The following is a 23,505-nucleotide window of genomic DNA, read 5'->3' as shown; positions in this document are numbered from 1 at the left end:
CAACAAAATGAGACCCCCATCTCTACAAAAAAATTAAAAAATTAGCCATGCATGATGGCATGCACCTGTGGCCCCAGCTACGTGGGAGGCTGAGGCTGGAGGATAGCCTGAGTCCAGAAGGTGAAGGCTGCAGTGAGCTGTGTTTGCACCACTGCACTCCAGCCTGGGCAACAGAATGAGACTCTGTGTATAAATAAATAAAACTAAGAGAGTTCTCACATCGAGCTGTGAAGGTAGTTTGCTAATTTATCTGGGGTTTTGCTGTTATCTTTTGTTAAAAATCAACTTGCTGGGGTGAGGTGGCTCACATCTGTAATGCCATCACTTTGGGAGGCTGAAGGGGGAGGATCACTTGAGTACAGGAGTTTGAGACCAGCCTGGGCAATGTAAGGAGACCCTGTCTGAAAAATTAAAAAAAAATAGCCAGGCGTGTTGTCATGTGCCTGTAGTTCCAGCAATGGCAGGCTGAGGTGGGAGCATCGATTGGGCACAGGAGGTTGAGGCTGCAGTGAGCTGTGATTGCACTGCTGCACTCCAGCCTGGGCAACAGAGCAAGACCCTGTCTCAATAAATAAAATAAAGTAGCATCAAATTGATACATATCCTAGAGTAGTTATCTTTTTTTCCTCTGAGCTCCAACAAGAAACAACAGTATTTACATTTTTAACTGGAGACAAAACTCTGCATAGGAGAAATTCAAACATCAGCAGACATATGAGGGCGTTTTTTGGCAGAGGCAACTTACTGTCAATAAAGTCTCACCCCTGGTGAACGCCACCTGCTCACACGTACAAAAGGAAAGTCATTTAGTGATCATGAATCCTGGTTTGACGTTAAGGTCCATGTCTGAAGTGTCGTTTATGATTAGGGAAGTCTGAGTCATCCTTAGGCTTCCTCTATTGCATTTGAGTCATTTCCTTTTTTACAGACCCAAACTGTACAGCCCAGGATATTTCTTAAATGTCCAAAAGTACAGAGTTTTGGAACTAAAGGGACATTCGAGATCATTGAGTTCAGTGTACTCGTTTTACAAATGGTGAAACTAAGGCCAAGAGGAGCATGCCTTTGCCTGATTGCACAGCCTCTGTGGGGCAGTTTTGCCTATACCAAGAAGGGTATAGGAAAATACCCTATTCTCTAGAACCAGCTGATTTCACAGCAAATTTGGATTCTGGCTTGAATTTATTTTTGTCAGAAGTAAACTAAAAATACTTGGTCTGAAAGTCTGAGAGGGACTCAGGGCCCAGGGGAACAAGCAGGCATCTCTGGTATATCCCCCTCAAATAGTTTTTTGTTTGTTTGTTTTAGACAGAGTGTTGCTCTTGTTTCCCAGGCTGGAGAGCAATGGCGCAATCTCGGCTCACTGCAACCTCCACCTCCTAGATTCAAGCGATTCTCCTGCCGCAGCCTCCCAGGTAGCCATCACACCCAGCTAATTTTTTGTATTTTTAGTAGAGATGGGGTTTCATCATGTTGGCCAGGCTGGTCTCGAACTCCTGATCTCAGGTGATCCACCCACCTTGGCCTCCCAAAGTGTTGGGATTACAGGCGTGAGCCACCATGCCCGGCCCCCCTCAAATGGTTTTATCTGTCACACTGGTGCTCCTGCAATGGACAAAGGAGACGTTTCCTGTAGGACCAGCATCTCTTTACTCAGGTTTTTCAATCTTGGAACTGCTGACATTTTGGGCCAAGTAATTCTTTGTTGCAGGGACTGTCCTGTGCATTTCAGGATGTTTAACAGCATCTTTGTCCTCTACCCATTAGTTGCTTAGTCAGAATAATCAGAAAAGTCCCCAGACATTGCCAAATGCCCCCTGGAGTTGCCTGGTTGCCTGGTTGAGAATCACTATGCTTAAGAAAGGGGCTCTTGTTGTAATCCCAGCACTTTGGGAGGCCGAGGCGGGAGGATCACGAGGTCAGGAGATCGAGACCATCCTGGTTAACACAGTGAAACCCCATCTCTACTAAAAATACAAAAATTAGCTGGGCATGGTGGCATGCGTCTGTAGTCCCAGCTACTCGGGAGGCTGAGGCAGGAGAATGGCATGAACCCCGGGAGGTGGAGCTTGCAGTGAGCCGAGATCGCGCCACTGCACTCCAGCCTGCGTGACAGAGAGAGGCTCCATTTCAAAAAAAAAAAAAAAAAAAGCGGGGATGGGGGGCTGTTTTAACTCAGGTCTGGGCCCACTTAGTCCTCATGGCAGTATCTATTCTTATTCCTGCATCTCCATGCCTAGCTGCCTTTTTCTCACCTTTCTTTCTGGGGCTACCACACCTTTATCAGATGAGATCCTCCAACCTCTCTCTACCCTCAGTATCTCCAAAAGTGCCACCTGGGTTGAAAATGAGAAGCAAAAGCATCTACCCTTCCCCCTCTTGCACCAAGGGTATACCCTAATTAGATAGGAATTTACATAATTGGTAAAAATAAGATATCATGGGCTGGCCACAGTGGCTCACACCTGTAATGCCAGCATTTTGAGAGGCCGAGGCACGAGGAATTCTTCAGCCCAGGAGTTTGAGACCAGGCTGGGCGATGTAGTGAGACCTTGTCTCTACAAAAAAATTAAAAATTAACTGAGTGGTGGCAGGCGCCTGTAGTCCCAGCTACTCGGGAGGCTGAGGCAAGAGAATTGCTTGAACTTCGGAGGAAGAGGTTTAAGTAAGCAAAGATTACACCACCGCACTCCAGCCTGGGTGACAGAGCCAGACTCTGTCTCCAAAACAAAAGACAAAGTGCATACAAGGCTCAGCTCTTAACAATGACTGCTGTGAGTCAAGGAAAGACCCCTTCCTTGAGGGTGTGCTGGGAGGGGATAGATGAGGGCATACCAAGAGAACCTTTGCCTTTTTTGCGCAATTTCCCCTTGACTCAGCGGTCCCACTTCCCTTCCCCAGCCCACACTTGTCCTCACCAGTGCTTGTATTTAGAAATGCAAGCCCGTGTTGTCATAGAAAAACAGAAACCAGATGGTTGCTATGGAGATTTGTTTAAATACACACCTAGAACATGGCCCAGACTCTGGCAGTGGTGAGTAGCAATTCTTGCTAGGACCTGCATTTTTCTTCCTCTTAATTTGCTGTTTTCCCACCCTTTTCTATTCTTGCTACATTTTCATGCTTCTCACTCCTGCTCCAAAATGCCACTTCCCACCTACCAGTACTGTTCTTAAACATCTCCTGTGTCTCAGGAAGTCACTATTTAAGAACAGACTTATTTACCCTTTGAGCCTTAGTCCCTTCATCTGTAATATGGGAATAATGACAATAAAAACTCTATATGGGGCCAGGTGCAGTGGCTCAAGCATGTAATCCCAGCACTTTGGGAGGCCAAGACAGGTGGATCACTTGAGGTCAGGAGTTCAGGACCAGCCTGGCCAATGTGGTGAAAACCTGTCTCTACTAAAAATACAAAAATTAGCTGGGCGTGGTGGTGCACACCTGTAATCTCAGCTACTCGAGACGCTGAGGCAGGAGAATCGCTTGAACCCAGGAGGCAGAGGTTGTAGTGAGCTGAGATCGTGCCACTGCACCCCAGCTTGGGCAACAGAGCAAAACTCTGTCTTTAAAAAAAAAAAAACAAAAAAACCAAACAAACAAACAAAAAAAACCTTATATGGGCTGGGCTGGGCGTGGTGCCTTATGCCCACAATCCCAGCATTTTGGGAGGCCAAGATGGGAGGATCACTTGAGCCCAGAAGTTTGAGACCAGCCTAGGCTACAGAGTAAGGCCCCATCTCTACAAAAAAACCTTAAAAATTAGCCAGGTGTGGTGGCACGCACTGTGGTCCCAGCTGTACCAGAGGCTGAAGCAGGAGGATCCCTTGAGCCCAGGAGGTCAAGGCTGCAGTGAGCCATATCTACACCACTGCACTCCAGCCTGGGCAACAGCCTGTCTCAAAAACTAAACTAAAAACCTTATATGTTTTTGTTAGAATTAAATTAGATATACAAAAAGAGGGGCCGGGCAGGGTGGCTCACGCCTGTAATCCCAGCACTTTGGGAGGCTGAGGCAGGTGAATTACTTGAGGTCAGGAGTTCGAGACCAGCCTGACCAACATGGTGAAACCCTGTCTATACTAAAATATACAAAAATCAGTCTAGCGTGGTGGTGGGCGCCTGTAATCCCAGCTATTCGGGAGGCTGAGGCAGGAGAATTGCTCGATCCCGGGAGGCAGAGGTTGCAGTGAGCCGAGATCATGCCACTGCACTCCAGCCTGGGCGACAGAATGAGACTCCGTCTCAAAAAGAAACTTGTATCATGGCTAGCAAAGTGGAATTTGGTTTTATGCTAAAATAAAATCCTAGAGCCAGGTGTGGAGGCGAGTGCCTATAATCCCAGCTACTCAGAGGCTGAGGCAGGAGGATTTGTTGAGACCAGGAGTTCAAGACCAGCCTGGGCAACATAATAAGACCTCATCTCAAAAAAAAAATAATAAAGTAAAATAAAATAAAAATCCTACTCTAGGGCACCTGGGAACCAACCAGTGGTGCCTTTGGAAATCTTGGTTTATGCTTCCTCTCTGACAGTAGGAAAAAGCTATTGTGGGAGTTTCTCCTGCCATGTAGAGTGATGGAAGAGCAGAATTGTGGAGGAGCAGGGTTGCTTTGTTTTGTCTTTGTTGTACTCAGCTGGAAAGCTGTTTAAGGAAAGAATCTGGTCATATGACCTCCTTTCTGCAATTGGAAATGAACGCCACAGGGAAAAGAAGATATAAGACACAGAATGCTCCTTGCCTGGCTAAAATGGAAGAGGACAAAGGAAGCAGAATACTTTCTGGGCTTTTGGCTTTTGCTACCCTCCTCTGGCAGACCCCTGTCCAAGACGCTGGCTGTGTTGTGTGCCAGGCTAGAGCTTGTACCTACTGTAAAATCTGTGTGTGATGTCTGTTGAGTTTTTTGGAAAACAAAAAACTTATATTTTAAAATACAAGGTATTAGATAATACCAAGGGCAGATAATTCCACCCTTGGAAATAAAAAAGATTTTCTTTTCTTCAGCTTGAATGTACTGTACAGCTGTGTTTCTGCAGTAGGTCTCAGCTCTTAGGAACGAGAAAAAGGAAAACATTACCCACTTTGCATTTCACTTCTGTTCTTTTCCTGTGAGACAGATACTACTATCTATCCTATTTTTATGGGTTAAAAAGCACAGATCAATTGAAAAAGAACTGGAAGGATAACTGCTAAACTGAGAACTGTTACATCCAGGCACGTTGACTCACGCCTGTAATCCCAACACTTTGGGAAGCTGAGGCCGGTGGATCACGAGGTCAGGAGATCGAAACCATCCTGGCCAACATGGTGAAACCCCATCTCTACTAAAAATACAAAAATTAGCTGGGTGTGGTGGCGTGTGCCTTAATCCCAGCTACTCGGGAGGCTGAGGCACAAGAATCGCTTGAACCTAAGAGGCGGAGGTTTCAGTGAGCTGAGATCGCACCACTGCACTCCAGCCTGGCACCAGAGCAAGACTCTGTCTCAAAAAAAAAAAAAAAGAATTGTGGTCACTTCCAGAAAAGAATTAGGGGAGTGAGATTGGAAGTGGTAATCATAGGAACTTTTGTGTCATCTATATTTTCCTTTTTTCCAAGGAAAATATTCATATATTAATTGTTTAATTAAAAATTAAATTTTGGCTGGGCGCGGTGGCTCACGCCTGTAATCCCTGCACTTTGGGAGGCCGAGGTGGGCGGATCACGAGGTCAGGAGATCAAGACCATCCTGGCTAACATGGTGAAACCCCGTCTCTACTAAAAAATATGACAAAAATTAGCCGGGCGTGCTGTCGGGCGCCTGTAGTCTCAGCTACTCTGGAGGCTGAGGCAGGAGAATGGCGTGAACCCCGGAGGCGGAGCTTGTAGTAAGCCGAGATCTTGCCACTGCACTGCAGCCTGGGCGACAGAGCAAGACTCCGTCTCAAAAAAAAAAATTTTTTTTAAGTTTTGTGCAGTGGCAGTATCATAGCCAATGAGGTTTGTCCAATGTACAATTATTGCTAATTGAAAACGTTTCAGGCCAAGCACAGTGGCTCACGCCTATAATCCCAGCACTCTGGGAGGCCGAGACAGGCCAATCATGAGGTCAGGAGATCGAGACCATCCTGGCTAACACGGTGAAACCCCCGTCTCTACCAAAAATACAAAAATTAGCTGAGTGTGGTGGCAGGCGCCTGTTAGTCCCAGCTACTTGGCTGAGGCAGGAGAATGGTGTGAACTCAGGAGGCGGAGCTTTCAGTGAGCTGAGATCGCGCCACTGCACTCCAGCCTGGGCGACAGAGCGAGACTCTGTCTCAAAAAAAGTTTCAAGCCAGGCACGGTGGCTCACGCCTGTAATCCCAATACTTTGGGAGGCCAAGGCGGGTGGATCACCTGAGGTCAGGAGTTCGAGACCGGCACAGCCAACATGGCGAAACCCCATCTACTAAAAATACAGAAATTAGCCGGGTGTGGTGGCACACGCCTGTAATCTCAGCTATTCAGGAGGCTGAGGCAGAAGAATCACTTGAACCTGGGAGGTGGAGATTGCAGTGAGCCAAGATTGCACCACTGCACTCTAGCCTGGGCAACAGAGTGAGACTCCAGAGTTGAGACTCTGTCTCAAAAGAAAAAAAGAAAAGGTTTCTGTTGGGCCAGGCCCAGTGGCTCACACCTGTTATCCCAGCACTTTGGGAGGCCAAGGCAGGCAGATCCCTTGAGTCTAAGAGTTTTGAGACCAGCTTAGGCAACTTAGAGAGACCCCGTCTTTACAAAAAGTTAGCCAGACATGGTGGCACATGCCATGGAAGGCTCACTTGAGCCCGTGAAGTCGAGGTTGCAGTGAACTGTGATCTTGCCACTGCACTCCAGCCTGGGTGATGGAGTGAGACCATGTCTCAAAAAAAAAAAAAAAGAATTTTCACATATCCCACTGTGGTAACTTACAATATAGTTGGCATTGGCAATTTTTGACAGTCTCTACAGAGACTGACTTTAAAAAAAATAAATAAATTTCAGGCTGGGCATGGTGGCTCATGCCCACAATCCCAGCACTTTGGGAGGCCAAGGCGGGTAGATCACCTGAGGTCAGGAGATTGAGACCAGCCTGGTCAACATGGTAAAACCCTGTCTCTACTAAAAATACAAAAATTAGCTGGTGGTGACGCACACCTGTAATCCCAGCTACTCGGGAGGCTGAGGTAGGAGAATTGCTTGAACCCAGGAGGCAGGAGGTTGCAGTGAGCTGAGATTGTGGCATTGCACTTTAGGCTAGGCGACAAAAGGGAAACTCCGTCTCAAAAAATAAATAAATAAATTTCAAATTGAAAGGTGAGGCTATTTTATAATTTTTTTTTTTTTTAATTTGAGACAGAGTCTCAGTCTATCATCCAGGCTAGAGTGCAGTAGTGCAATCTCGGTTCAGTGCAACCTCCACCTCCCGGGTTCAAACAGTTCTATTCTACCTCAGCCTCCCAAGTAGCTGGGATTATGGGCACCCGCAACCACACCTGGCTTATTTTTGTATTTTTAGTAGAGATGGAGTTTCACCATGTTGGCCAAGCTGTCGAACTCCTGACCTCAAGTGATCTGCCCGCCTCAGCCTCCCAAAGGCTTATGCCCACAGGGTTGAGCCACGGCGCCCGGCCCTATTTTACAAAATTGTAATGAAGCTGAGAAAAGATAATTCATCTAAGATCACTTGATAAATGACAGACTCCAAAGCCCATGGCTACTTGACCAAATCACTTTGCTCTGTATACATCCGTATAGAGAACTAGGTTTGGAGCCAAGAGGGACTCCTGATTTATCCCTCTCATGGGCAGTAGGTTTGTTATAGTGAGCCCTTGGCCTTAGCTTGGTTTTCTTTATCAGTAAAGGAGAGCATGACCAGATCATGCCATACCAACTTGATGGCCTAGGCCTAGGGCTTGGCTTGTGAGGTGTGACTAAATCACATAGCCTCAGATAAGGAATGAGGGAAGATTTAAAGCAGGATTGATAAAGCAGATTATGTTTTATACTTAACAAAATCTTAAACTGGATGTTTCAGCTGGGGTATCAAGATCTAATAGATATGAAACTCCAAAGGGAGACAGCAGATGTAAATGCAGTATTTTAAAGGAACTTACCAAGAACCAGTTGCACAACTCTTGAACCCCCTCACCCATTTCAAGAGTATGAAAAGTGAAGATAGAAGGCCAGATGCAGTGGCTTACTCTTGTAATCCTAGCACTTTGGGAGGCTGAGGTGGGAGGATCACTTCAGGCTAGTTCAAGACCAACCTGGGCAACATGGTGAGACCTTGTCTCCACAAAAAAATTAAAAAATTAGGCCGGGCGCAGTGGCTCAAGCCTGTAATCCCAGCACTTTGGGAGGCCAAGGTGGGCGGATCACGAGGTCAAGAGATCGAGACCATCCTGCTCAACATGGTGAAACCCTGTCTCTACTAAAAATACAAAAAATTAGCTGGGCATGGTGGCACGTGCCTGTAGTCCCAGCTACTTGGGAGGCTGAGGCAGGAAAATCACTTGAACCTGGGAGGTAGAGATTGCAGTGAGCACCGAGATTGCACCACTGGACTCCAGCCTGGTGACAGAGCAAGACTCCGTCTCAAAAAAAAAATAAAAAATTTGAAAAAATTAAAAAGCCAGGGGCAGAGGCTCATGCCTGTAATCCCAGCACTTTGGGAGGCTGAGGCAGGCGGATCACTTGAGGTCATCAGGAGTTCAAGACCAGCCTGGCCAAATGGTGAAACCCCGTTTTTACTAAAAATACAAAAATTAGCAGGGTGTGGTGGTGGGCGCCTATAATCCCAGTTACTTTGGAGGCTGAGGCAGGAGAATCACTTGAACTCGGGAGGTGGAGGTTGCAGTGAACTGAGATCGCACCACTATACTCCAGCCTGGGCGACAGAGCAAGAGTAATACATCTAAAAAAAAAAAAAAAAAATTAGCCAGGCATGGTGGTGCATGCCTGTAATCCCAGCTACTACTCAGGAGGCTGAGGCAGGTGGATCACATGAGCCAGGAGTTTGAGGCTGCCATGAGCCATCATCATACCACTGCACTTCAGCCTGGGCCACAGAGTGAGACCCTGTCTCAAAAAAAAAAAAAAAAACAACAACAAAAAAGCGGAGATTGGGTTTATAAAAGAGCTTTCTTTGGAGAGAGCTACTACCATGCTGTGAGCCCTATTCAATCCCAAAGAGAAGAGGTGGGGAAGGGCCAGGTGAGGTGGCTGACGCCTGTAATCCCAGCACTTTGGGAAGCTGAGGCGGGCAGGTCACCTGAGGTTAGGAGTTCGAGACTAGCCTGGCTAACATGGTGAAACCCCGTCTCTACTAAAAATAAAAAAAATTAGCCAGGCGCGGTGACGGGTGCCTGTAGTCCCAGCTACTCAGGAGGCTGAGGCAGGAGAATCGCTTGAACCTGGGAGGTGGAGGTTGCAGTGAGCTGAGATCGCACCACTGCACTCCAGCCTGGGCAGGGGGAGCAAAACTCCATCCCCCACCCCAAAAAAAAGAGATGAGGTGAGGAGTAATTCTATCTTCTCAATCCTAGAGACAGTGGCTTCAAGACCACTGAAACATTTTGTATTTGTCCTTGGGTAAGGGATAATCATTAGACTGTGTATGACTCACGGTAGAGGAATTTCAAGGCAAAAGCTGACTAACAACAGAGCCTGATGTAACAAAGTAGAGAGTCACATCCTGGAAGTCACCACACTGGCTTCTGATAAACGGTCAGATATACATGAATCCTGTGGACCATGTGTGGAGCCAGTTTAAATCCTACTCAAGAGAACTGCCTGGATGCATAGTGGGGCTCTTCATGTGGAAAAGAACACTGGAAAACAAAAGGATAATGAGAGAGTGGTGGCTATAGAAATAGAATACATCACCTCACTTCAGGAAGTTGCCACTGCCTTTGGAAAGCGCCCCCAGGGAAGCCTCTGATGGAGCCATACAAATGCTCATGAGATAATTCTTAACATCAGCCAGGCCTAGACAGCATGAAGCCACTAATAACCCTTCCTCTTCATTCTGCCCCATTCCTAGAAATATCAGTGTAGCAAAAGGAGAGAAGCCAACTACCCCCTCTTTCACAGAGGCGAGCTGGCTGGCTCTGTTGACCCTAGCTGTGGGGTAGAGAGATTCTTACCTATGATGAAAATTGATGTGTTAATATATTTCGGACCAAGAGTATGTTTTGCTACTTAAAGTGGTTGCAAAGACTATTACCTAAAGGTGATCCACATCTGAGGAAAACCTCTCCCACTGAAATAAATTGTGCAGAGACAGGGGAAAACAAATTAAACTTTAATTTTCATTACATTTCTTCAGTTGGTACTTGTTAAGCATTCCAGTTATGGTCACCTTTGTATTCTCTGAGGCACTTAATTGGCACTCATGATATTGAGATTATTCCTTCCAGATTGTAGTATGTAACCTTCTGGTTAATATCCTCTCTATAATAAAACAAAAGACAGTTTTAGGGACTTAAATTTCAATAAATCTGGTTGAGGCCAAGGAACCAGAAATAAATTGAAAACTCAATTTATTTCAAGGAAACTTGAAATAAATTGAAATAAAGTTAGTTGGAAACTAACTTTAAGATAATCTAGTTCCAGGCCAGGCACGTGGCTTACCCTGTAATCCCATCACTTTGGCAGGCTGAGGCAAGCGGATCTCTTGAGCTTAGGAGTTAGAGACCAGCCTGGGTAACACAGCAGAACCCTGTCTCTTAAAAAAAAAAAAAATCTAGTTCCAACGAATGCCTCCTCAGTGAATCTTTTTCACAGTATCCCTGGAAAGTGAATATTTAGTCTCTTGAATAACTCCAGTGTCTTGAAATCTACTATCTTCACCCTCATGAAAACGTCAAGAGTTTGAGGACCACCTCTTTCTACATCTACTAGCCTAAACATTTTCCCTCCCTTTAGCTAGTCCTCCTTGACATAGTGTGGACTCCTGGCATCACCTTGTCTACTCTCTGGATGAGCTCAAATGTGTCAGTGTGCCTGTCTAACTTTGGTCCAGATGTGGCCTCACCAAGCCAAATAGAACTAAACCATTACCTGCTTGCTTGTAGACCTGGACCGTAGGAGAGCCCAAGGCCCCCTTAGGTTTTCTTTACTACTTATGCTACTGACTCATATCAAACTGACACCTAAGCTGGACATGGTGGTGCACACTTGTAGTCTTAGCTGCTCTAGAGGCTGAGGCAGAAGGTAGCTTGAGCTCCAAGAGTTTGAAACCGGCCTGGGCAACATAGCAAGATGCCCATCTGACAACTGACAAAAACCTACAGGTGTTATTTTCGGGGTAAGGTAGGGTTGTTTTGATTTCATAATAATAAATTAATGCATTAATTTTATACAACATATAACATTAAAAACCTTCATTCAAAAAAAAAACAAAACTACAGGTTGGACATGGTGGCTCACGCCTGTAGTCCTAGCACTTTAGGAGGCCAAGGTGAGCGGATTGCCTGAGCTTAGGAGTTTGAGACCAGCCTGGGCAACATGGTGAAACCCCATCTCTACTAAAATACAAAAAATTAGCTGGGCATGGTGTACTCCTATAGTCCCAGCTACTCGGCAGGCTGAGGCGGGAGAATGGCTTGAACCCAGGAGGTGGAGGTTGCAGTGAGCCGAGATCATGCTACTGCACTTCAGCCTGGATGACAGAGCAAGACTCCAACTCAAAAACAAAAAACAACAACAACAAAAAAAGCCGGTCGCATGGCACATGTATACATATGTAACTAACCTGCACAATGTGCACATGTACCCTAAAACTTAGAGTATAATAAAAAAAAAAAATTAAAAAAAGAAAAAAAAAAAAAAAAAGCCGGGCTTGGTGACTCATGCCTGTAATCCCAGCAGTTTGGGAGGTCGAGGCCGGCCGATCACTTGAGGTCAGAAGTTTGAGACCAGCCTGGCTAACATGGTGAAACCCTGTCTCTACTAAAAAAAAAAAAAAAAAAAAAAAAAATTATCTGGCCGTGGTGGCAGACACCTGTAATCCTAGCTACTGAGGAGGCTGAGGCAGGAGAATCGATTAAACCCAGGAGGCGGAGAGGCGGAGGTACGGTGAGCTGAGATGACACCACTGCACTCCAGCCTGGGCGATAGCGTGAGACTCCTCAAAAACGATGAAAAAAAAAAAAAAACTACAAACAAGGCTTCCTTGCCATTATTCCAAGTCCTGGTCCTTTCCTTCCAGAGATAAACACTGTTTAATATTGATTATATATCCTTCCAGCCCTTTTTCTATGTATTTACATGTAGAAATATATGGGAATTTTTTTTTTTTTTTAGACGGTCTCACTCTGTTGCCCAGACTGGAGTGTAGTGGCATGATCTTGGCTCACTGCACCCTCTGCCTCCCAGACCAAGTAATCCTCCCACTTTGGCCTCCAGAGTAGCTGGGACTACAGGCACATGCCACCACGCCTGGATAATTTTTGTATATTTTTTGTAGAGACAGAGTTTTGCCATGTTGCCCAGGCTGATCTTGAATTCCTGGACTCAAGCGATCTGCCTGCCTTGGCCTCCCAAAATGCTGAGATTATAGGCATGAGCCACCACACCCGGCTAGTTATATGAGACTTTTAAAACATAAATGAACCGGGCATAGTGCCTCACACCTGTAATCCCAGCACTTTGGGAGGCTAAGGCAGGAAAATCACTCAAGGCCAGGAGTTTGAGACCATCCTGGGTAACATAGTTTTGTGTCTACAAAAACTAAAAAATAGCCAGGTGTGGTGGCACACACTTGTAGTCCCAGCTACAGGGAGGCTGAGGTGGGAAGATTGCTTGAGCCCTGGAGGTCAAGGCTGCAATGAGCCATGATAGTGCCACTGGATTCCAGCCTGGGCAATAGAGCCAGACCCTGTCTCAAAAAAAAAAAAAAAAAAAAAAGTATCACATGGTTTGTATTATTCCAGATCTTCTTTTTACCCTTAACATGTTTCAGAGAACTTGCATCTCAATACATATAAAGATGTCTCATTCATAAGAACTGTTATATTGTATCCTATAGTATGAATGTATCACAGCTTACTTAACCATTCTGTTGTTGGACATATAGATTGTTTCCAATTGTTTGCTATTACAATGTTTCAGTGAAAATTCTTTATGCCTCTTAGTGCCATATGGGAGTATTTCTCTAGGGTAAAATATAAATATATATATAAATATAAATATATTATAAATATATATAAATATAAATATATTATAAATATATATAAATATAAATATATTATAAATATATATATATATAATATTGTTTTATTTTATTTTAGACAAAGTTTTGCTCTTGTCGCCCAGGCTGGAGTGCAATGGCATGATCTCTGCTTACTGCAACCTCTGCCTCCTGGGTTCAAGCGATTCTCCTGCCTCAGCCTCCTGAGTAGCTGGGATTACAGGCATGCAACACCACGCCCGGCTAATTTTGTAATTTTTTTGTAGAGACGGGGTTTCATCACGTTAGCCAGGCTGGTCTCAAACTCCTGACCTCAGGTAATCCACCCACCTCGGCCTCCCAAAGTGCTGGGATTACAGGCATGAGCCACTGCACCTGGCCTCTCTACGGTAAATATTGAAAGTTGCTGGGTCACAGGGTATGCACATTTAAATTTTTTTTTTCTTTTTAAAGGGACAGAGTCTTGCTCTGTTGCCCAGGCTGGAGTACAGTGACGCAATCTTGGCTCAATGCAACCTCCGCCTCCCGGATTCTGGCTCAATGCAACCTCTGCCTCCCGGATTCAAGCGATTCTTCTGCCTCAGCCTCTGAGTAGCTGGGCCTACAGGCACGTGCCACCATGCCCAGCTAATTTTTGTATTTTTAATACAGACGGGGTTTCACCATATTGGTCAGGCTGTCTCAAATTCCTGACCTCGTGCTCTGCCCTCCTCGGCCTCCCAAAGTTCTGGAATTACAGGTGTGAGCCACCGTGCCCAGCATTTAAAATTTTAATATGTACTTTTTGCAACCCAGAACTCATTGTTCAGTATGAGTTTTGATACATATAAGAAGGGATATTATGATACCTGAGACAGTTAACTGATGGGAGTATTGATAGCCATAAAGGTTGGTTCCAGGCCAGGTGCAGTGGCTCAAGTCTGCAATCCCCACACTGAGGTGGGTGTATTGCTTGAAACCAGGAGTTCAAGACCAGCCTGGGCAAGAAAGTAACAAACACCTCATCTCCACAAAAATTTAAAAACTAGCTGGGTATTGGGGCGTGTGCCTGTAGTTGCAGCTACTCAGGAAGGGGAGGCTGAGGCAAAAGGATTGAGCCCAGGAGTTGGAGGCTGCACTGAGCTTTGATGGCACCACTCTACTCCAGCCTTCGTAACAAAGACCTTGTCTCCTAAAAAAAAGATTGATTCTAGGACTGTAGAATAGATAGTTAAACAGCATGGGATATGAGGGAAATCCTCAGCAGTATTAATTTTGCATTCCAATTTCATGTTGATGAGACATACGATGGCTTTTTGTTTTAAAAGCTTTTATCTTGAGAACATGATGTCTGGAGTTAAAGGTATTGGCATATTCCACACATCTGTACTATTCTTGAGTGAGATGGCTTAAGGTGTCAAATTGATAACCTGGCAGATCCCCACGACCGACAGTATAAAGGACCCTAAAGTAAATTGGTTGAAGAAATTAGATCCCAAAGATTCTTGGTGAATTTTGAAGTCTTCATCAGTATATCCACATTAAAAGGAGACGACAGGAAGCCAAAGTAATTATGGGCTGACAGGACAACTGGATCAGTTTCATTAAAAAGGCTAACTTGAAGATAAATCTTTTGACTCCAGCTCTTTAGAGGATCTAAAGTGACCTTGATGGACAGTGGAAGAAATCACAACATGGAATTCCTTGAATAAAAATTTATTGACTTTAAATAATTTTGTCTATTGTTACATATCCACAATTTAAAAACTATTTACAGCCGGGTGCAGTGGCTCATATCTGTAATCCCAGCACTTTGGGAGGCCAAGGCGGGCAGATCACAAGGTCAAGAGATTGAAGCCATCCTGGTCAACATGGTGAAACCCTGTCTCTACTACAAATACAAAAATTAGCTGGGCGTGGTGGCAGGCGCCTGTAGTCCCAGCTGCTTGGGAGGCTGAGGCAGGAGAATCGCTTGAACCCAGGAGGCGGAGGTTGCAGTGAGCCAAGGTCATGGCATTGCACTCCAGCCTGGCAACAGAGCAAGAATCTATCTCAAAAACAAAACAAAACAAAACAAAAAAACAAACAAAAACCTCCTTACACTGTTGAAAAAAATTGTAATATGTACTTACAGATTGCCCTAAATTGATTTATATTCCCACCAACCTTGTAAGACTGCTATAGGCCATTTGCCCATACTTTTCTAATACTTGATATTAGATATGAGTGGTCATTTAATTTATTATTATTATTTTATTTTATTTTATTTATTTTATTTTTTTTTTTGAGACAGAGTCTTGCTCTGTTGCCCAGGCTGGAGTGCAGTGGCACAATCTCGGCTCACTGCAAGCTCCGCCTCCCAGGTTCACGCCATTCTCCTGCCTCAGCCTCCGAGTAGCTGGGACTACAGGCGCCCACCAGCATGCCCGGCTAATTTTTTGTATTTTTTTAGTAGAGACGGGGTTTCACCGTGTTAGCCAGGATGGTCTCGATCTCCTGACCTCATGATCCGCCCGCCTCGGCCTCCCAAAGTGCTGGGATTACAGGCGTGAGCCACCGCGCCCAGCCTATTATTATTATTTTAGAGACAGAATCTCACTCTGTCACCCAAGCTGGACTACAGTGACATGATCTTGGCTCACTGCAACCTCCACCTCCTGGGTTCAAGCAATTCTCCTGCCTCAGCCCCCTGAGTAGCTGAGATTACAGGTGCACACCACCATGCCCGGCTAATTTTTGTATTTTTTAGTAGAGACAAGGTTTCACTGTATGTTATCCAGGCTGGTCTTGAACTCCTGACCTCAGTTGATCCGCCTGCCTCGGCCTCCCAAAGTACAGGGATTACAGGCATGAGTCACCACACCTGGCCTGGTCATTTACATTTTTGCCAGAATGAAAGATAAGCAAAAGTTACACATGCACACATATACATACATGCGTGTGTAGAGATTATAGGTATATGTGTATGGGCATGTATGTATATACCATTTGTATTGTCCTCCATTTTAACTCCTTATTTTGCCCATATTTTTGTTGTCTCTCCTAAGTTATTTTTTAGAGACAGGATCTTGCTCTGTCACACAGGCTGGTATACATGGGTGAGATCATAGCTCACTGTAGCCTTGAACTCCTAGGCTCAAAAGATCCTCCCATCTTAGTTTCTCTCAAGTAGCTAGGACTACAGGCACACAGCATCTCAAGATCCTGGCCTCAGGTGAATCGCTTGACCCCAGGAGGTGGAGGTTGCAGTGAGCCGAGATCGCATCACTGCTCTCCAGCTTGGGCGACAGGAACTGACTCCATCTCAGAAAAAAAAAAAAAAAAAAATCCTGAACGCAATTGATTCTCCTGTCTCAGCGTCCCAAAGTGCTGGGATAATAGGTGTAAGCCACCATGCCCTGACACTTTATTTTTATTTATTTATTTATTTAGTTATTGAGACAGAGTTTCGCTCTTGTTGCCCAGACTGGAGTGCAATGGCGCGATCTTGGCTCACTGCAACCTCTGCCTCCCAGGTTCAAGCAATTCTCCTGCCTCAGCCTCCCGAGTAGCTGGGATTACAGGCATGCACCACCACGCCCAGCTAATTTTGTATTTTCAGTAGAGACAGGGTTTCTCCATGTTGATCAGGCTGGTCTCGAACTCCCGACCTCAGGCGATCCACCCGCCTCAGCCTCCCAAAGTGCTGGGATTACAGGCGTGAGCCACTGTGCCCGGCCACTTTATTTTTTTTAACCTTTGCACTGAACTTTGCATTTGACCCATTTAAACTGCATCTTAGCTAGGTGCAGTGGGGTATGCCTATAGTCCCAGCTACTTCAGAGGCTAACGTTAGAGGATCATCTGAGGCCAGGAGTTTTAAGGCTGTAGTGTGCTATGAATGCACCTGTGAATAGCAGCTGTGCTCCAGCATATAGAGACCCTGTCTCTAAAAAATGAAAAAACAAAACAAAACAAAAAAAACCCCACCTCGTTAGATTTGGTCCTGCCTGCCAAGATCTCTTTATATTCTGATTCTGCTATCCAGCATATTATCTCTACTAGATTATTGATGTCTACAAATGTGATAATCTGTCATCAACGTTCTTAACTAAACCATTTGTACAAACATTGAATAGGACAGCACTCAGAACAGTATGCACTAGACACTTCTAATTTGGTGTTAATCCATTGTTAGTTAATAGGATTCTGAGTATTGTTTGCATTGTCTGCTCAGCCAATAGCAACTGGGAGCCTAGTTCAACTGGAATGTGCAGCTACAGGCCCCATTGTAGACTTCACAGAAGAGAGGTGTGAGTTCTGTGTCTCAAGCCAAAAGGAGAAAAAAAATTTTTTTTCTTTGAAACAGCGTTTTGCTCTTGTTGCCCAGGCTGGAGTGCAATGGTACAATCCCGGCTCACCACAACCTCTGCCTCCCAGGTTCAAGCAATTCCCCTGACTCAGCCTCCCTAGTAGCTGAGATTACAGGCATGCACCACCACGCCCAGCTAATTTTGTATTTTTAGTAGAGATGGGGTTTCTCCATGTTGGTCAGGCTGGTCTTGAACTCCCGACCTCAGGTGATCCGCCCATCTCGGCCTCCCAAAGGGCTGGGATTGCAGGTGTGAGCCACCGCGCCCAGCCCAAAAGGAGAAAAATTTAAATTTAATAGTAAACAAGTTTTCTACCCATTTCTTAGGCTTAAGTCATCTGGGTCACTGGGTCATTTCCTCTAAAGATCTGCTTCTTTCATTTCAGAACCCACAAATTTTCTAAACACCTATAAATTGTCATTCATTCTTCAATTTTGTATCACCTAGTTTGGGTCAACTACAGTTCCAATCTACCATATCCTTTCTGGCTTCACTTCTTTCCTTATCCACCTTGGACTTCATGGACAATGATCTCAAGACACTTTTACCACACCCTCAGTTACCTTTGTCTTTTGTTCTTTGGTCCCAACCACCTCACCCCTCCCCAGTTCTAGATCAATGTAAACTTTATGTTTATTTGCTCATTCAAGAAATATTTATTGAGGGCCTGTTGATATGCCAACAGTTGTTCTAGGTATTGAGGACACAGATGTGTTTTCTCTCCTTCTGAGTGTTGGCATCTGTTTTATAGGAGAGCATTAGTTAATCATGAGTCGGAACTGGTACCAGTATGTGGTTTCCAGCCTTAACTTGGCAGTCCTCATGGGGAGCCAAATGCCTTGTCAATTTCTCACAGCTGCTCTCCTTAAGCACCTCTTTCTAGTCCCAGCCTTTGCCTTTTGTAGACCACCTTACAGTCGGCCTCAAAAGGATAATAAACCAGTGCCACATTCTCCAGCGTTCTTCCCTTTCCTTTTCCTTTTCCCCCTCGCCTCCCCTCCCCCAGGCTGGAGTAGTAGAGCGGCAGGATCTCAGCTTCCTGCAACCTCTGCCTCCGAGGTTCAAGCAATTAACCTGCCTCAGCCTCCCTGGTAGCTGAGATTACAGGCACCCGCCACCACAACTGGCTAATTATTTTTGTATTTTAGTAGAGACAGGGTTTCAAATGATCCACCTGCCTTGGCCTCCCAAAGCACTGGGATTACAGGCATGAGCCAGCACACCTGGCCTCTTCCCCCTCTCCCCTCCCCCTCCCTCCCCTCCCCCTCCCCCTCCCCTCCCCCTCCCCCTCCCCCTCCCCTCCCTTCTCTTCTCTTCCTTTTTTTCCTCGCTCCGTCACCCAGGCTGGAGTGCAGTGGCATGATCTCAGCTCACTGCAACCTCCACCTCCCAGGTTCAAGCGATTCTCCTGCCTCAGCCTCCCGAGTAGCTGTGATTACAGGCACCTGCCACCATGCCCGGCTAGTTTTTGTGTTTTTAGTAGAGAAAGGGTTTTGCCATGTTGGCCAGGCTGTTCTCCAACTCCTGACCTCAGGTGATCCACCCGTCTCGACCTCCCAAAGTGCTCTTTCTCTATCTCTTCTTTCCTTCTTTCCCTCTCTCTCTCCTCTCTTTCTCTCTTCTTTTTCTCTCTTTTTCTTTTTTTTCCCCCAGACCAGGTCTCACTCTGTCGCCCAAGATGGAGTATAGTGGCGCCATCACAGCTCACTGCAGCTTCAACTTCCCAGGCCCCAGCAATCCTCCCACCTCAGCCTCTGAGGAGCTGGGACCACAGGTGCACACCGCCACACTTGGCTATTTTTTTTTAATGTTTTTTTAGAGACGGGGTCTCACTATGTTGCCCAGGCTGGTCTCCTGGGCTTGAGGGATCTTCCCATCTGAGCCTCCCAAGGTGCCAGGATTACACACATGAGCCACTGTGCCCGGCCGTATTCCTCCTTTTGACCTCTAAACTGTGAGGGCACCCATCTGTATGTATCTTCCTGCCTGGCTGAAGAAGAGGATCTCCTTACAAAGGCCTTATAACTCAGACCTTTACCCTCTCATCTGTCTCTTCTGAAATACTGCACCCTAACACTTATCCTTTCTCTTTTATAATGTATTTTATTCTGCATGGTCATTCTCTTTAACTTACAAATATGTTTGATTCCCTCCTTCTGAATAATCTTTCTTCAACCCAACCACCCTTCTGCTTTCTCTTCACTCTAACATTTCTTGAAAAAAAAGTTTTATTTTCTTTTGAGATGGAGTCTCACTCTGTCAACAGGCTGGAGTGCAGTGGCACAATCTCGGCTCACTGCAACCTCCGCCTCCCGGGTTCAAGCAATTCTCCTGCCTTTGCCTCCTGAGTACCTGAGACTACAAGCGCGCACCACCACGCCCAGCTAATTTTTGTATTTTTAGTAGAGACGGGGTTTCACCATGTTGGTCAGGATGGTCTCGATCTGTTGACCTCGTGATCCGCCCACCTCAGCCTCCTAAAGTGCTGGGATTACAGGCGTGAGCCACCACGCCTGGCCAGAAGTTTTATTTTCATTTTATTTATTATTATTTTTGAGACGGAGTTTCACTCTTGTTGCCCAGGCTGGAGTGCAATGGCGCGATCTCGGCTCACCACAACCTCCGTCTCCCAGGCTCAAGTGATTCTCTTGCCTCAGCCTCCTGAGTAGCTGGGATTACAGGCATGCACCACCACGCCCGGCTAATTTTGTATTTTTAGTAGAGACGGGGTTTCTCCATGTTGGTCAGGCTGGTCTCGAACTCCTGACCTCAGGTGATCCGCCCGTCTCGGCCTCCCAAAGTGCTGGGATTACAGGCGTGAGCCACTGCACCTGGCCTGGAAGTTTTATTTTCTTCCTTTTTTTTCTTTGAGACGGAGTCTCGCTCCGTCACCCAGGCTGGAGTGCAGTAGCGTGATCTCGGCTCACTGCAAGCTCCGCCTCCTGGGTTCACGCCATTCTCCTGCCTCAGCCTTCTGAGTAGCTGGGACTACAGGTGCCCGCCACCATGCCCGGCTAATTTTTTTGTATTTTTTGGTGGAGACGGGGTTTCACCGTGTTAGCCAGGATGGTCTGGATCTCCTGACCTCATGATCTGCCTGCCTCGGCCTCCCAAAGTGCTGGGATTACAGGTGTGAGCTACCGCACCCGGCCAGAAGTTTTATTTTCTATACCTTCTTCAGCTCTCTTAATTTGTCAACCCACTGAAATTAAGCTTTTATCCTTATGACTTTACTACATCTATTCTCAAAATGCCTAATTGCCAAATACAATAACCTTTTTTTCAGTCCTTATCTGAATTTTTTTCCTCTCTTGTCCTTTTAGGAACTCCTGACTTTCTTCCCAATTTCATATATTCAATGAGACAGGGGTCCCCAAACCCTGGGCTGCAGACCAGCACCAGTTCATGGCCTGTTAAGAACCGGGCTGCACAGCAGGAGATGAGTGACTGGCAAGTGAGCATCACAGCCTGAGCTCCGCCTCCTGTCAGATTAGCAGACATTAGATTCTCATAGGATTGCAAACCCTATCATGAATTATGCATGCAAGGGATTTGGGTTTCGTCCTCCTTATGAGAATCTAATGCCTGATGATCTGATGGAACAGTTTCATCCCAATACCATTCCCAGCTCCTGCACCCCCGCCCCCAAAAGATCCATCGAAAAATTGTCTTCCACAAAACCAGTCACAGGGCCAGGTGCCAGAAAAAGAGTGGTGAGGCTAGGCATGGTGGCTCACGCCTGTAATCCCAGCACTTTGGGAGGCTGAGGAGGGCAGATCACTTGAGGTCAGGAGTTCAAGACCAGACTGGCCAACATGGTGAAACCCTGTCTCTACTAAAATACAAAAATTAGCTGGGCATTATGGTGGGTGCCTGTAGTCCCAGCTACTCGAGAGGCTGAGGCAGGAGAATGGCGTGAACCTGGGAGTTGGAGCTTGCCGTGAGCCAAGATCGCACCACTGCACTCCAGCCTAGGCGACAGAGCAAGACTCCGTATAAAAAAAAAATAAATAAATAAAACACCTAAAACCACCAGCTTGAATATAAAAAGCAAAAAGCATGAATTCAAGACACATATGGCTGGAATTGGCGACAGCTCTAGGGGAATCTGCCAAATCGCCAGTGACAGAGCTTCAACTTTAATGCAGTGGGCACAGGCTCCACTGTCAATGAAAGGGTAAACCAGGCCAGGTGCGGTGGCTCATGCCTGTAATCCCAGCACTTTGGGAGGCCGAGGCGGGTGGATCACGAGGTCAGGAGATCGAGACCATGGTGGCTAACACAGTGAAACCCCGTCTCTACTAAAAATACAAAAAATTAGCCCGGTGTGCTGGCAGGTGTCTGTAGTCCCAGCTACTCTGGAGGCTGAGGCAGGAGAATGGCATGAACCTGGGAGGCGGAGCTTGCAGTGAGCCGAGATTGCGCCACTGCACTGCAGCCCGGGTGACAAAGCGAGACTCCGTCTCAAAAAAAAAAAAAAAAAAAAAAAAGGAAAGGGTAAACCAGTAAATACCCACCTTGAAAAAAGAGACAGCAAGGAAATGTCCCTACTGCAATCTTGGCTCTGAATCAGGGGTGGAAGTCGAGGATTGTGAAGACCTCCCCTGAGTATTCACAGGCTAGTCTTCATGAGTTTATAGTCTAAGTTTATACTACCTGAATAGACAGAAACACTTCAAGCCCAGAATTTTATTTATTTATTTATTTACTTACTTACTTACTTATTTACTTACTTACTGAGATGGAGTCTCCCTCTGTTGCCCAGGCTGGAGTGCAATGGCGTGATCTTGGCTCACTGTAACCTCTGCCTCCCGGGTTCATGCCATTCTCCTGCCTCAGCCTCCCAAGTAGCTGGGATTACCGGCACCCACCACAATGCCCGACTAATTTTCGTATTTTTAGTTGAGACGGGTTTCGCCATGTTGGCCAGGCTGGTCTCGAACTCATGACCTCAAGTGATCTGCCCACCTGGGCCTTCCAAAGTGCTGGAATTACAGGCATGAGCCACCAAGCCCGACCAAGCCCAGAATTTATTTTAAAGTAGTTACAGGGTGATAGTAACCTAATTGTCAGGCACTGCAGAGAACGAAATACAGATCCTCTCTGGAGAAAGTCACCTTCAAGGCAAACCTAAAAAAAATCCCTGGAGTTCAGATGATAAACTATAAGGAAAAAAAATCCCTATTGTTAAGTTCCTTTGAATATGTGTTCACTAATAAAAATCCCACAAACACAAAGCAACAGGAAGTAGGCCACCATAAATGAGAATGAGCAGAAATCATAAATAGCAGAATTATGCCCACAGAGACTTTGGATATTAGAATTATATTGCTGCATATAAAGAAGTATGTTTGCCAGGAGCGGTGGCTCACACCTGTAATCCCAGCACTGTGGGAGACCGGAGGTGCGTGGATCACCTGAGGTCAGGAGTTGGAGACCAGCCTGGCCAATATGGTGAAACCCCGTGTCCACCAAAAATACAAAAATTAGCCGGGCGTGGTAGCACGTGCCTGTAGTCCTGGCTACCTGGGAGGCTGAGGCAGGAGAATCACTTGAACCCGGGAGGCGGAGGTTGCACTGAACCAAGATCATACCACTGCACTCCAGTCTGGGTGACAGAGCAAGACTCCATCTCAAAACAAAACAAAAAAGAAGTATGTTTAATATATATAAAAGCCTGATTCAAGCACCGGACAGAAAAAATAATGTATCACTAGGGAATAAATCACTAAAAATGACAAGACTTCCATAACCATTGCTTGGTTTAAAAAAAAAAAAAAAAAAAAAAAAACAGGCCAGGTGCGGTGGCTCACACCTGTAATCCCGGCACTTTGGGAGGGCAAGGCAGGCAGATCAGGAGGTCAGGAGTTCGAGAGTAGCCTGGCCAACATGGTGAAACCCCGTCTCTACTAAAAATACAAAAATCAGCTGGGCGTGATGGCACATGCCTGTAATCCCAGCTACTCGGGAGGCTGAGGCAGGAGAGC

The 23,505-nt window shown here is 45.9% G+C and overlaps 1 long non-coding RNA gene and 1 pseudogene across 2 annotated transcripts in view, besides 5 other annotated features; one reads left to right on the top strand and one right to left on the bottom strand.

The window, feature by feature from the left end:
* Positions 2,780-3,074: an enhancer, noted in NCBI's record as "tiled region #10549; K562 Activating DNase unmatched - State 5:Enh". NCBI's record gives its function as "activates a minimal TATA promoter and a strong SV40 promoter by Sharpr-MPRA in K562 cells {active_cell/tissue: K562}" and the evidence as "EXISTENCE:reporter gene assay evidence [ECO:0000049][PMID:27701403]".
* Positions 5,415-6,101: an enhancer, noted in NCBI's record as "H3K4me1 hESC enhancer chr1:150580942-150581628 (GRCh37/hg19 assembly coordinates)". NCBI's record gives its function as "activates a minimal SCP1, AML or CMV promoter by ChIP-STARR-seq in primed H9 embryonic stem cells {active_cell/tissue: H9 hESC(primed)}" and the evidence as "EXISTENCE:reporter gene assay evidence [ECO:0000049][PMID:30033119]".
* Positions 9,099-9,937: an enhancer, noted in NCBI's record as "NANOG-H3K27ac-H3K4me1 hESC enhancer chr1:150577106-150577944 (GRCh37/hg19 assembly coordinates)". NCBI's record gives its function as "activates a minimal SCP1, AML or CMV promoter by ChIP-STARR-seq in primed H9 embryonic stem cells {active_cell/tissue: H9 hESC(primed)}" and the evidence as "EXISTENCE:reporter gene assay evidence [ECO:0000049][PMID:30033119]".
* LOC107985203 (uncharacterized) overlaps positions 10,283-23,505 on the bottom strand; it is a 24,455-nt gene continuing 11,232 nt past the window's right edge. For both annotated transcript variants that reach the window (NR_186818.1, NR_186817.1), the window contains one exon: positions 10,283-10,447. This is a non-coding gene — a long non-coding RNA (uncharacterized LOC107985203). The remainder of the gene's footprint in view (positions 10,448-23,505) is intronic.
* Positions 13,948-14,028, top strand: LOC124900445 (uncharacterized; annotated as a pseudogene).
* Positions 16,081-16,580: an enhancer, noted in NCBI's record as "H3K4me1 hESC enhancer chr1:150570463-150570962 (GRCh37/hg19 assembly coordinates)". NCBI's record gives its function as "activates a minimal SCP1, AML or CMV promoter by ChIP-STARR-seq in naive H9 embryonic stem cells {active_cell/tissue: H9 hESC(naive)}" and the evidence as "EXISTENCE:reporter gene assay evidence [ECO:0000049][PMID:30033119]".
* Positions 16,581-17,082: an enhancer, noted in NCBI's record as "H3K4me1 hESC enhancer chr1:150569961-150570462 (GRCh37/hg19 assembly coordinates)". NCBI's record gives its function as "activates a minimal SCP1, AML or CMV promoter by ChIP-STARR-seq in primed H9 embryonic stem cells {active_cell/tissue: H9 hESC(primed)}" and the evidence as "EXISTENCE:reporter gene assay evidence [ECO:0000049][PMID:30033119]".

The sequence above is a fragment of the Homo sapiens genome, chromosome 1, assembly GCF_000001405.40.
Source record: "Homo sapiens chromosome 1, GRCh38.p14 Primary Assembly".
In the NCBI taxonomy this organism is placed as follows: Eukaryota; Metazoa; Chordata; class Mammalia; order Primates; family Hominidae; genus Homo; species Homo sapiens.
This window is presented reverse-complemented; position numbering and strand designations above follow the sequence as displayed.